A 13319-nucleotide genomic window follows, 5' to 3' on the forward strand; every position below is an offset into this window, starting at 1 on the left:
TTTAGTAGAGATGGCATTTCACCATGTTGGCCAGGCTGGTCTCGTACTCCTGACCTAAGTTATCTGCCTGCCCCAGCCTCCCAAAGTGCTGGGATTACAGGCGTGAGCCACCATGCTTGGCATAGTCTCCTTTAATCTTGAACATTTCCACAACTTTTATGACATTTAATTTCCTCTTTTATGCCATTGAGACTTTTGAAGAATGCAGTCACTCCTCCCACCTTTCATTAAATAGAATTTTCCTTATCTTTGGTACATGTGGTATTTCCTCATAATTAGATTCAAGCTGTACGTTCTGGCCAGAATATCACAGAAGTGATGTGTCTTTCTCAGGGCATCCCATCTGGAAATACGTCATGTCCATCTGCCCCCCTATTCGTGATGCTAATTTTGATTATTTGGTCAAGATATTTTCTGATATTATCACTCTGCAGTTAATTTTATATAGTTACTATTTTTTCCCCACGCAATTAATAAGCAAGTGCTGGAGAGACATTTTAAGATTCTGTAAATATCCTGCTGCACATGAAAAGTTTCCCCCTAGATTGAGCGTCTGCTGATGATTCTTGTGTGATCCAGCATTTACTATGTTGGTTGTAAAACAATGCTTTTCTGACTCCAGTATTCTCTCCACATTCGTAAGTTGGCTCTCAGCATTCTACTGTAAAGAAGGACCCTCCTTTCTCCCCAGGAAGGTGTTTTTGTTTTTTTAAATGAAGGAGACCGTGGAAACTCGCCAGATGACCTGTAGCTCCTGGAGCTTGGCAAAGGCTGGGCAAACGCCCACCTGAAGACTATGCAGGCAATCAGGACATGACACAGAGCCGGGAGAGGCCTGCTCTTCGGCTCTGCCCTGAACCTCATTCGGCAGGTGGAGGTATTTAGGCATTTGAGGGAATCTCAGCTTTGGGAGGCCACTTTGTAAGTGATCTTAAGAGATTAAGTACATCCTTAATTAAAAGAAATGGTAACACCTCCGCCTGCTTGCTGTGAGTTTATTCATTTGAATTCCCCATCTCCCCCAATGGGAAATAACACAGAATTGCAATTATTTATAAAATCTTAAATTGGCTTCTTTTCTCTAGGAAAATAGCCCTTGATTCAATTAATTCCAATCCTAGAAAAGCGCCTAGATATCTGATTGAGGTATTGAGGGAGAGAGGCTGCTCCCCTTGATTCTTTTACTATAATCCAATTAAAGCAACATTTATGGGCCAACTCCCTGGCCATGGGCACAGCTTTGTTTAGAGAGTTGCAAATCCATTCCCACCTCCCCGCTCCCCCAGAAGCTCTTTATTATTTTATTTTATTTATTTATTTTTTTGAGATGGAGTCTCGCTCTGTCACCCAGGCTGGAGTGCAATCTCAGCTCAATGCAACCTCAGCCTCCCGGGTTCAAATGATTCTCATGCCTCAGCTTCCCTAGTAGCTGGGATTACAGGCACCCGCCACCATGCCTGGCTAATTTTTTTTGTATTTTTAGTAGATACAGGATTTCACCATGTTGACTTAAGGTGATCCACCCTCCTGAGTCTCCCAAAGTGCTGGGATTACAGGCATGAGCTATTGTGCATGGCCATCCCAGAAGCTCTTTAAAATGTGGTTTTCCAGCACTGACATTTTAGGATTCCCTAATTCTAAGTTAAATTGTCTGCTAAATGTAACTCTTCCCACCCACTTTTTCAACTTGTTTTGTGCTCAGATACTGACATGCATGTAGAAACACACACACACACACACACACGATTCTGCTCGTTGTCTTTGAGAAATTCAGTGGTTTCTAAAGGGGCATGGCTCAGCTGTGGCCTCTGAAGCGCTGTGGTTCCGCTGACGTGGGATGATAACTTGGCCACGGCACATGCAGTAGGGGGATAGTCGTGGCAGTACTAGAAGTGCAAAGGGGACTGGGGCACAGCATCTCACGTGTTTTCACAGACTTTTAAGGTTGGAAGGTGTCTTAAAAGTTATCTGGGCAGCCCTTTCCCTCTCCATCAAATGATGAATAAAATAAAACTTGGTGAAACATCTCATGTTTCTTAAGCACCTGAGGATTTTTTTTTTAAATTTAAAAGAACACTGCCAATAATTGGGCTCAATGAGAAGGAACTCTCATCGAATTTTAAGCAACATCTCCTAATATGTTTAAAAATTAAATTTATTTTTTTCTCAGCCCCCTGCAACTTCAGCCTCCCAGGTTCAAGTGATTTTCCTGCCTCAGCCTCCTGAGTAGCTGGGATTACAGGCACGTGCCACCGCACCCAGCAAATTTTTTGTATTTTTAGTAGAGATGGGGTTTCGCCATGTTGGCCAGGCTGGTCTCGAACTCCTGACCTCAGGTGATCCACCTGCTTCAGCTCCCAAAGTGCTGGGATTACAGGCGTGAGCCACCGTACCCGGCCAAATCGATTTTTTTGAGTGTGGCATAAGGTTTTCTTAAGGAGAGGCATGTCTCTCTATGGAGGAGACCTAACACCTGCTTCTTTATAAGGCCTTATTGGACCCCTCTTGAAAACTATCAAAAGAAGTTGAAAGATGATTCAGTGTGGCCAGGCTGTGGGACATTCACTCATTCATTCATTCATTCCTCTCTGACATAGAGACTTGAGAGGTGTCAACAGAGGATGCAACATTCTCGGGAGAAGAAAGGCAGATTAGACCTTAAAGCTTTTTTCTAGTCCCTGTTCTGGCTGACTTTATCAGCCAAGGGAAGAACAAATCAAGGAAAGCCAGGGCCTGGAGGGGCTGGGCAGAGCCTGCTGCTGTGTCTGCATTGCCCCTAATCCCAGAAGACTCACTCAACTGCTGGACAAAACCAGAAGGCAGTCTGGCCAGGCCCTTGTCTGCCTCTTAGAAGAAATCTAGGATTCTACAGGAAGGGAACAGTGGCTTATGAAAAGAAAGGCAGGAAGCCTTTTGGAAAGTGAAGCTAAGCCTCCTTTGCATTTGTTCCTGCAGAGCTGGGGGAACAGCTCTTCCCCAACACCTTGGTCAGGTCCCCTTGGGGGCTTTCTGCTGAAGGCTGACGGCTGAGAGTCATAGGGGGAAGGGGGTGATGGTGAATGGGGAGGAGGGTACAGAAAAGACAGGGTCTTAGACTTTGTTTTAATTTTGTATTTAATTATATAAAACATTAATGTATGCCCAAGGTAGTGCATCCTTGCCTCTCCTCCCCACCTCGATTGCCATTTTTATTTGTTTTTTGATTTATCTTATTACTTTTGAAAAAAATCCAACGTATATCTTCCCTTTATTACAAAAGAGGTAGTGCACTCAAATACCATTTCATTTTGCTTTCTCCATATGACAGCATCCCCTGGAGAAGGGTATAGAGGCTGTCCTTGGCATCTTACTCCACTATGTGGACATACCACAGCTTTTTCAATCACTTCCTATTGGTGGACATTAGGCTATTTCCAGTCCTTAGTGTAAATAATGCTGCAATGAGTAAGTACCCTTGAGCATATGTCACACTGTATTTTTGCCAGTGCGTCTTTGTGAACCTTCTCCTTTGGATGGAGAGAGTTGGTTCTCTTCCCATTTCCTGCCAATGAACTTTCTTTTTTTTTTTTTTTTGAGACAGAGTCTTGCTCTGTCACCCAGGCTGGAGTGCAGTTGCGCAATCTCGGCCCACTGCAACCTCTGCCTCCCAGGTTCAAGTGATTCTCCTGCCTCAGCCTCCTGAGTAGCTGGGATTACTGGCATGCGCTACCACACCCGGCTAATTTTTTTATTTTTAGTAGAGGTGGGGTTTCACCATGTTAGTCAGGCTGGTCTCGAACTCCTGACCTCAGGTGATCCACCTGCCTTGGCCTCCCAAAGTGCTGGGATTACAGGCATGAGCCACCGCAACCGGCCCAATGACCTTTTCTGTGGCTGTGGATTAGATATCTGTCCTTCCCTGCATCAAGTCTAGTTTTTGTTCCTCATCCTAACTGTGTGAAATTCCTATGTTTCATGCCCTCCTTTCTTTTTTCTCAGCAGGAGTCCTGGCAAAATAAGCATGCAGGTAGTAATGGTAGGTATTTCTAATGTACTTTTTACAACTTAGATCGGTATGGTAGGGATAGACATATTTGATATATACCAAGGAATTCAAGGTGACTTGGAAGAGAAGCTTTATAAATAATGAATAATTCATTTTTTATTCCAATTCAAGGCAAGACATTGAATGCATGGATTGTACTAGGCTTTTCTATGGCAGTATGGAGAGGGCTGGGTGGTTTCTGCTCTGAATGCCTAGTATAGCAGATTCTAGGGACTGCAGGCGGCTGTTCTTCCTCCACCCTTCAGAATTAGGCCACCCTCTGTGCAGCAGAAACAGCCCCCGCAGGGCTGAAGCCTTCAGGCCAGTAGTGACAGCAGAATGTGCAGTCTGGGTGCGTGTCCTCTATGGAGTGGTTCCAGATGTTGCTTCAGAGGGAGAGAAGAAGCAAGAGGAGGGACTTGAGGATGGTGTGTTTAGTTCCCTGAATCCCTGCCCAGAAACCATAACCTTAGGAAAATATTCCAGAATCTGCCATCAGGTTAAACTGCTTATGAACAAACAGGCTTTGGCGAAGTCTTTCTGTGGTATGTAAAGTTTGTCACAGACCATTCCTCATTTTTTTTTCTGGAAAATTATCCTTCAGAGTCCAAGACACACAGCTTTGCTAGCAATTTGTCTTTTTGCCTAACACGGAGGTTGTGTGCTATGATGTTGGTGACATTGACCAGGTCACCATTATTAAGCACTTGTCACATACTAGGCACTGTTCAGAGAGATTTCAGGGATTATATCATTTATTCCTCCATTCACTGGAGGTAGGTAATACTGTTATTCTCACTAATGATGAGGAAACTGAGACCCATGAAATCTAGTGCTTTGCACTGCAGCTAAAAGGCACCGCAGCTAAAAAGAAGTGAAGCTGGGATTTGAACCCAGCTGTCTGATTCCAGAGCTTACTCTCCTAAGGCCAGGCTATCCCAGTGTCTATTTATGTGAGCTCAGGTGACTGCTTCACCCCTCTGAAGAATAAAGCAGTTTCTTTCAGCTTTACAATTCTGCGGTTCCAACATTTAGACGTGACTTCCCGTGGAGCATTACCTTCTCTCATGGTGAGGAGGAATTTATAGGTGCTCTGAGCCACTGAAGCGTGGATCCCTTTTGCTGTATTTTCTGGTCTGGGGAATATGGACTTGCTCAGCCTGAGGACTGACCCTTAGCAGTAGTTAATAACTAACTCATGCCCCAGAGACAAGGACAGAGTTTGGTGGGTTCTACTACAAACTTCCTGTGAGTGGAAAAAGAAAACTGTTTGATGTTACATTTTCCTGTTAGTGCCATGTGACAAATAATGCATTGCTGACTTTCTCTCTGTGATAGAGTCTTTTCCAGAGGAATCAGGGAGTTGGCAGGAACACTTCAAAGCAGTGTGATCCTCAGTCGATGCCCAACTGGAACTTTCTTTTTCCCCTCTTTTTTCTTTTCTTTTCTTTTCTTTTTTTTTTTTTTGAGACAGGGCCTCACTCTGTTGCCTAGGCTGGAGTGCAGTGGTGTAATCACAGCTCACTGCAGCCTTGACCCCTCGGACTCAGGTGATCCTCCCACCTCAACGTCCCAGGAAGCTGGGACTACAGGCAATGTGTCACCATGCCCAGCTAATTTTTTGTATTTTTTTTTTCTAGAGATGGGGTCTCACTAAGTTGTCCAGGCTGGTCTTGAACTCCTGGGCTCAAGCGATCAGCCCGTCTTGGCCTCCCAAAGTGCTGGGATTACAGGCATGAGCCACCACGCCCAGCCTCCCTCTTTTTCCTTCTCTAGGGAAGAGGTCCACCTAGCCTCTTTATATCCAGTGACATAAATGCTGACTCAATCCAACCATACTTGAGCTGGAAGCCTTGAGCTGATCCATGGGATCTTAATTAATTCCCCACCCAATCCCTGCCAGCAGCATAGTTTCCAACCCAGACAAAGCAAAAAAGAATGCGAAGACACATCAGTCTCTCCCATCAGGAAGGGCATGGTGGCTGAATTTGTCTCAGGAGGGCCTTGAGAGAAGCATAATTCTCCAGAATTAGATGCGAAAATTATCAGTGAAGAAATCTAAGTGCTTGGGGAAGATATTTGGAGTCTGAGTACCTCTCTTTCTAGGTAACAGAGCCACAAATGGTGCACCAAGCCTGGTCTCCAGGGGGATGCAAGGAGCATCTGCTAACACTCTAAACTCTGAAACCAGCACAAAGGTCTGGATGGTTTCTTTTATTCCTTTTTTAATAAAAAAATTTTTTTTCCAAATTTAATCAAAAGGACGGTTTCTTTAGGGGCTCTCTCCCTAGGGTCCAGCCTTCGATGATTTTAAGGGCTCCGAGCTGTTTGTTTCAGACTTGTTTCTCCCTCTCTCTGTAATTATCTCTGTTCTTCCCACCTTTTTCTGTATCAATCAGAAGTGACTGATCCCTTTGACTGTGGAGGAAATGCTGTTACACTTTGAGTCATGCATACCCTTTGGGTTATTTCTGGAGAGGGGTAGTTTCTTTTCTTATCCATTGAAGCCACTTGTTTTCTGCTTGGATAAAGATGTACCACGATTTCAAGGATGATTTTAGCTGCCCAGAGGCTCTGCTAAAGCCAGCTCAGCTAATTTGCAATCACATGCTGTTTACAATAGCCTTAAAAAATAATTGCACATGTTTTTAAATTCCTACTGTGAATATATATATATATTGAATTTTAAAAATTGAATATACAGCCATCTTTATATACATATGAATATATATCAGCCATCTTTATATATATATGAATATATATGTGTATATATATACTTTATTTATAAGTATACTTTATATATATATACTTATATATTAAGTGTATATATATATATACACACACTCATATATATATTCACATATATATAAAGATGGCGGTCTCACTGTGTTGCCCAGGCTTGTCCTGAACTCTCAGGCTCAAGGAATTCTCCTGCCTCAGCCACCCAAGTACCACCATGCCAGCTTGTATATTATTTTTATATTCAGAAATAAAATTACAAAAGATTTCCCTTTTTTGAAGGCATTAGATCACTCCAGAAATGAACCATCTGAAAAAAATCTTTGATATTTATGTTGTCTCATGAAATCCTTGTGTATGCTTTCTTCATTCATGTTGCTAATATGAAAGTGAAGATGCTTTTGCATAAACCCTGGGTTTGACAATATTAAAATATATATTCCATTTTCTTAACTGTCATGATTGAGCTTCTCCAGCCAAACCAGGTGAAGTCTGAATTTTAATCAGGATCTGGCATTTCACCTTGGAATTAATTAGCTAATTCCACACTAGGGCCAGGATCTTGAGAACTCTCTGCCTCTGATACTGGGAGTGGCATCCTGAAAGAAAGGAACTGTCTAATCTTTAGTGCAAATGAGATTTATCCTTTGTCCTGGGCTCTAGGACTTAAAAAAGAATCTTTGAAATTTTATTCAGATCACAATTGTGCAGTAAAAGTGAGTTGCAGAGTAGTCAGAATCCCCAGTTTTTCAATATGTGACTTCAGAAATAATGTGGCATAAATACCCCAAGGGGTTTAGACTAGAGTATAAAAACATGGTTTTGGACAGGCATGGTGGCTCATGCCTGTAATCCTAGCACTTTGGGAGGCTGAGGTGGGCGAATCACTTGAGGTCAGGAGTTCAAGACCAGCCTGGCCAACATGGTGAAACTCTACCTCAACCAAAAATACAAAAATTATCGGCTGGGCGCGGTGGCTCATGCCTGTAATCCCAGCACTTTGGGAGGACGAGGTGGGCGGATCACAAGGTCAAGAGATCAAGACCATCCTGGCCAACATAGTGAAACCCCGTCTCTACTAAAAATACAAAAATTACCTGGGCATGGTGGCGGGCGCCTGTAGTCCCAGCTACTCGGGAGGCTGAGGCAGAAGACTCGCTTGAACCCAGGAGGTGGAGGTTGCAGTGAGCTGAGATCACGCCATTGCACTCCAGCCTGGGTGACAGAGCGAGATGCTGTCTCAAAAAAAAAAAAAAATTATCTGGGGGTGTTGGTGGGCACCTGAGGCAGGTGGATCCCTTGAATCCGGGAGGCAGAGGTTGCAGTGAGCCGAGATCGCGTCACTCACTCCAGCCTGGGCAACAAGAGTGAGACTCCATCTCAAAACAACAACAACAGCAACAACAAAATAACAACAACAACAAAAACATGGTTTAAACAACTGGCATGGGGAGATACATCCTGCTCTTCCTCACAGTGGATCCATTGGAGTGGTTGGTTAGAAACATTTAAGGCCCTAAGATAAGGATTCCTACTAAGTGGCTCTATCTATTCTTCAAGAGGGCAGCTGTGTACAGGATGAATCGGAACCACAGAGGCCTCTGTGTCATTGTCAACAACCACAGCTTTACCTCCCTGAAGGACAGACAAGGAACCCATAAAGATGCTGGTAAGAAAGTCTGGAACAGTTTATCAAATGCAAATTGGGGATCTTAAAATTATTTTTTATTTTCACATTTTCTTTCTGTGACTTTTATCTTCCATATACGTGTAAGGATGATATCATGTTTCTGAGCCTCTTATATATCCCTGGGGAGTCATCAGTCTGCTAAAGAGTGGCAAGAATCTTTGACTATTCACAATTCTGAATAGAGGAGAGCATGTACTGGGGGAGAGCCTGCTGGATTGGCACGAGACAACTTGGGCGTGAGCTCCAGCTCCACCACTAACTAGGTGTGTGATCATGGGAGAGTCAAGAGACCTTGGCTTCTTCAACTGTGAAACAGGATGAAACACTGGCCACTGCCGATTCTCAGGACTGTTGTGACAACACTGGGTATTACGTGATAGGAGATTCATTGTAAGATTTTATGGTTATGAAAATAAAAATAATCCAAAGCTTTAGGCTATTTGCTGTGCAAATTTTGTAACTATTAGCATTGTTTCAGTTTTTTTTTTCTTTGAGACAGAGTCTTGCTCTGTTGCCCAGGCTGGAGTGCAGTGGTGCAGTCCCAGCTCACTGCAACCTCTGCCTCCCAGGCTCAAGCCATTCTCGTGCCTCAGCCTCCCGAGTAGCAGGGATTACAGGCGTGAGCCACCACACCTGGCTATTTTTTGTATTTTCAGTAGAGATGGGGTTTTGCCATCTGGCCAGACTGTTCTCAAACTCCTGACCTCAAGTGATCCGCCTGCTTCGGCCTTCCAAAGTGCTGAGATTATAGGTGTGAGCCACTGTGCCCGGCCTTGTTTCAGTTCTTCATTTTGTTTTGCATCATTTTATTATTTCCCCTTTCTCTCTCTCTCTCTCTTTTTTTTTTTTTTTTGTTTTTAAACAGAGATCCTGAGTCATGTGTTCCAGTGGCTTGGGTTCACAGTGCATATACACAATAATGTGACGAAAGTGGAAATGGAGATGGTCCTGCAGAAGCAGAAGTGCAATCCAGCCCATGCCGACGGGGACTGCTTCGTGTTCTGTATTCTGACCCATGGGAGATTTGGAGCTGTCTACTCTTCGGATGAGGCCCTCATTCCCATTCGGGAGATCATGTCTCACTTCACAGCCCTGCAGTGCCCTAGACTGGCTGAAAAACCTAAACTCTTTTTCATCCAGGCCTGCCAAGGTGAAGAGATACAGCCTTCCGTATCCATCGAAGCAGATGCTCTGAACCCTGAGCAGGCACCCACTTCCCTGCAGGACAGTATTCCTGCCGAGGCTGACTTCCTACTTGGTCTGGCCACTGTCCCAGGCTATGTATCCTTTCGGCATGTGGAGGAAGGCAGCTGGTATATTCAGTCTCTGTGTAATCATCTGAAGAAATTGGTCCCAAGGTGAGAGCTCTTTTTTTTCTTCCATTTGTAATTAATTAGTTTTATTTATTTTTTATTTTACTCTCATTCAACACCTTTGGTAAGGGTGAGAGTTCTACGTTGTTCTATCCATGTACCTGTTCAACCATCTGCCTACCCTCCTGTTTATCTATTTATCCATCTATCCACCCATTCATCTATCCATCCATCTATCCACCCATTCATCTATCCATCCATCCATCTGTCCATCCATCCATCCATCCAGCAACCTTGTATTGAGTACCAGCCTGGACCTGGAAAGGAAGATACAGAGTTAAAAAAAGACAGAGTCCTTGCCCTCAGGTTGCTTACAAGCTAGAGGGATAGACAAACAAATAGACGGGGAAGGGCATCCCCAGCTGGTAAGTGCACATTGTGAAGTATAGGTGTTATGGGAACATGCAGAATGAGTACCTTGCCCAGATTTGAAGGATCAGAGGAGGCTTCTAGAAATGACAAATAGATGTTAGGTAAAGAATCAGGTGAAAGATGTGCTGGGCAGAGGGAATAGCATGAACAAAAGCATGGGGGCCTTTTATTTGTTCGTTTATTTATCACTCACTCTTACGTCCTGAGCACCTATGTGCTATCTTTGGACTTCTATTTGCCACTGCTCTGACAGCTTCCCTTCTGTCTCTGCCACATGCTGTCCTCTTGGCACCTTTAGCCATACCTAGAGGCCATGGGCTCCTCCATGAAAACGTCTCCAAAGTTGCCATCTCTGGCCCACTCATCTCTGAATTCCTGGGGGCAGAGACCCTGTTTCATTCAACTTTATATCCTCAGCCCCTGACCTGATATATTGTGAGCTTGTTAAACATTTGCTGGGCCAATGAATGACTTGCTTGAGCCTGTCTCATTAACATCCCGCTAGATATCCTACCTCTGTTTAGCCCTTGGACCTCACATTCAGCATGCATGTTTCTGAGCTCATCTTCCCAGCTCTCTCCAGGAGCTCCTACTCCTGAATTTCCATTTGAAGGAATGGCCATAGTGCTCTTCTGGGAATTCAGGATTGGAACCTTGAGTCAACTTTGCTTTTCTCTCTTCTTTACCAGCCCCTCCATTCTCATCACAGACATCAGAGGCTAATGTCTATGGCTTCAGGAACAAGGCAATATTTATTGAGAGCGTACTATGTGCTTACTGTACTGGGTACCGAACTGGGGACAGGGGGTGCAACTGTGTACAAGAGAGACAAAATCTGCTCTCCAGGGAGCTAAAAGTCCAGTGAAGGAAGGACAGATAATAAAAATATAAGTGAATATTTAAATTATTATTATTTTAAAAATTCAACAATATTAAAAGGAGACAGTATACATGCATGATTAAGCAATGTGTGGTTTTTTTTGGTACTCCAGAAATTTCTGTTATTTTTAATTGATACTTCATAACTACATATTTCAGGGTTATAATTTGATGTTTCAATACATATATGTGTTGTATAATGATCAAATCAGGGTAGTTAGTGTATCCATCACCTCATGCATTTATCATTTCTTTGTGGTGAGAACCTCTAAAAGCCTCTCTTGTAGCTATTTTGTAATATACAACACCTTACTGATTGATCGATTGATTTAAATATGGGATCTCACCATGTTGCCGAGGCTGGCCTTGAACTCCTAGGCTCAAGCAATCTTCCTGCCTTAGCCTTGTAAGTAGCTAGGATTATATGCTCAAACCACAGTGCCCAGCTCAGAATGCCTTACTGTTAACCATAGTCACCCCACTGTGCAGCAGAACACCAGAGGTTATTTCTCCTATCTAATTGTAACTTTGTACCCATTGACTAACCTCTCATCTTCCCTTCCCTCCTTCTCTCTCTCATCTTTGTAATTGCTGTTCTAATCACTGCTTCTATGACATCAACTTTTTAAACAAAGATTCCACATGAGTGAGAACAAGCAGATTTTTTCTGTGTCTTGCTTATTTCACTCTGGGCTCATTCATGTTGTCAGACATGTCAGGATTTTCTTTTTTTATGGCTGAATGGTATTCTGTCACGTATAAATATCACATTTTCTTTATCCATATATCCATTTTTGGACCCTTAGGTTGATTCCATATCTTGGCTATTGTAAATAATGCTGCAGTAAACTGGGAGTGCAGATATCTCTCTGACATATTGATTGCATTTTCTTTGTTTATATACTTAGTATGGGGATTGCTGGATCATATAGTATTTTTATTTTTCATTTTATGAGGAACTGGCATACTATTTTCCATAATGGCTGTACTAATTTTCAATACCACCAACAGTGTGTAAGTGTTCCCTTTTCTCCAGATCTTTGCCAATATGTGTTTTCTTTTGTTTCCTCGATAATAGCCATTCTAACTTGAGTGAAGTAGCATCTCACTGTGGGTTTTTTATTTTTATTTTTATTTTTTTTTAGACAACATCTTGCTCTGTCAGGCTGGAGTGCAGTGGCGCAATCTCAGCTCACTGCAGCCTCTGCCTCCTAGGTTCAAGCAATTCTTCTGCCTCAGTCTCCCGAGTAGCTGGGATCACAGGCATGTGCCACCACGCCTGGCTAATTTTTGTATTTTTAGTAGAGACAGGGTTTTACCACGTTGGCCAGGCTGGTCTGGAACTCCTGATCTCAAGTGATCCACCCACCTCAGCCTCCCAAAGTGCTGGTATTACAGGCGTGAGCCACGGCGCCCAGCTGTCACTGTGGTTTTGATTTGCATTTCCGTGATGATTAGTGATGTTGAGGGGTGGAAGCGGGTAAGTAGGAAAACTCCCACCACAACTATAGTGCTAGAGTGAAGTAGGGCTGAGACTGGGGTTGGGCCTTCCAAGGCGGAAGGAAGTCAGGGGTGGAGGCCAAGTTGGGCTGATTTTCCTGCTGCTGCTAAGAGAAAACCAATTAATGGAAGAAGGTTGGGGGTAGGGTTAAGGATAAGTATTTGTTGAGGCTCTCATGTATTGGATGATGAGAGGAATCATGCTATAGCTAAAATAAAGCCAATGTCACCAATGCGATTGTATAGAATTGCTTGGAGGGCTGCTGTGTTAGCATCTGCTTGGCCATGTCATCAGCCAATTAGTAGAAAAGATATAATTCCTACACCCTCTCATCTGATAAAGAGTTGGAAAATGTTGTTGGCAGTAACTAGAATTAATATTGTGGTGAGGAAAATAAGTAGGTATTTGAAAAACTGATTAATGTTCAGATCTGCCTTCATATATCATATTGAGAATTCTATAATAGATCAAGTGATAAATAGTGCTACTAGAATAAACATTATGGAGAATTAGTCTAGTTTGAAGCTTAATGAGAGTTTTAGGGTTTGGATTGTTATTCAATATCAGTTTGAGATGATGGTTTCTTGGTCTGTACACATAAATGTTGTGGGAATGAGGCTAATGGTGAAAGTGCATGCGACAGCTATTTTTACATAGTATGGATATGAGTTCTTTTTGTGAGGGTTGATAAAGGTAATAATAATTGGTAAGGTTAAGGAGATTAAGGTTATTATAGTAATG

At 43.0% G+C, this 13319-nt stretch overlaps 1 protein-coding gene and 1 pseudogene across 12 annotated transcripts in view, besides 1 other annotated feature; one reads left to right on the forward strand and one right to left on the reverse strand.

Annotated features, from left to right (window-relative positions):
• Positions 1-13319, forward strand: part of CASP10 (caspase 10) — a 46266-nt gene that overhangs the window by 16611 nt on the left and 16336 nt on the right. For 2 of the 12 annotated variants that reach the window (NM_032974.5, NM_032977.4), the window contains exons 6-9: positions 3979-4015; positions 6131-6222; positions 8324-8432; positions 9319-9811. In NM_032974.5, the coding sequence (NP_116756.2) occupies positions 3979-4015; positions 6131-6222; positions 8324-8432; positions 9319-9811 (731 nt within the window). Of the gene's footprint in view, positions 1-691; positions 979-3978; positions 4016-6130; positions 6223-8323; positions 8433-8538; positions 8717-9318; positions 9812-13319 lie in introns of those variants that run through there. The other 10 variants (NM_001206542.2, NM_001230.5, XR_923043.3 and 7 more) reach the window with 9 other exon arrangements.
• Positions 9234-9283: an enhancer, noted in NCBI's record as "active region_16981". NCBI's record gives its function as "activates an Ori minimal core promoter by ATAC-STARR-seq in GM12878 lymphoblastoid cells {active_cell/tissue: GM12878}" and the evidence as "EXISTENCE:reporter gene assay evidence [ECO:0000049][PMID:35858748]".
• MTND5P25 (MT-ND5 pseudogene 25) lies at positions 12545-13318 on the reverse strand (annotated as a pseudogene).

This window comes from Homo sapiens, chromosome 2, assembly GCF_000001405.40.
Source record: "Homo sapiens chromosome 2, GRCh38.p14 Primary Assembly".
NCBI classification, from domain to species: domain Eukaryota; kingdom Metazoa; phylum Chordata; class Mammalia; order Primates; family Hominidae; genus Homo; species Homo sapiens.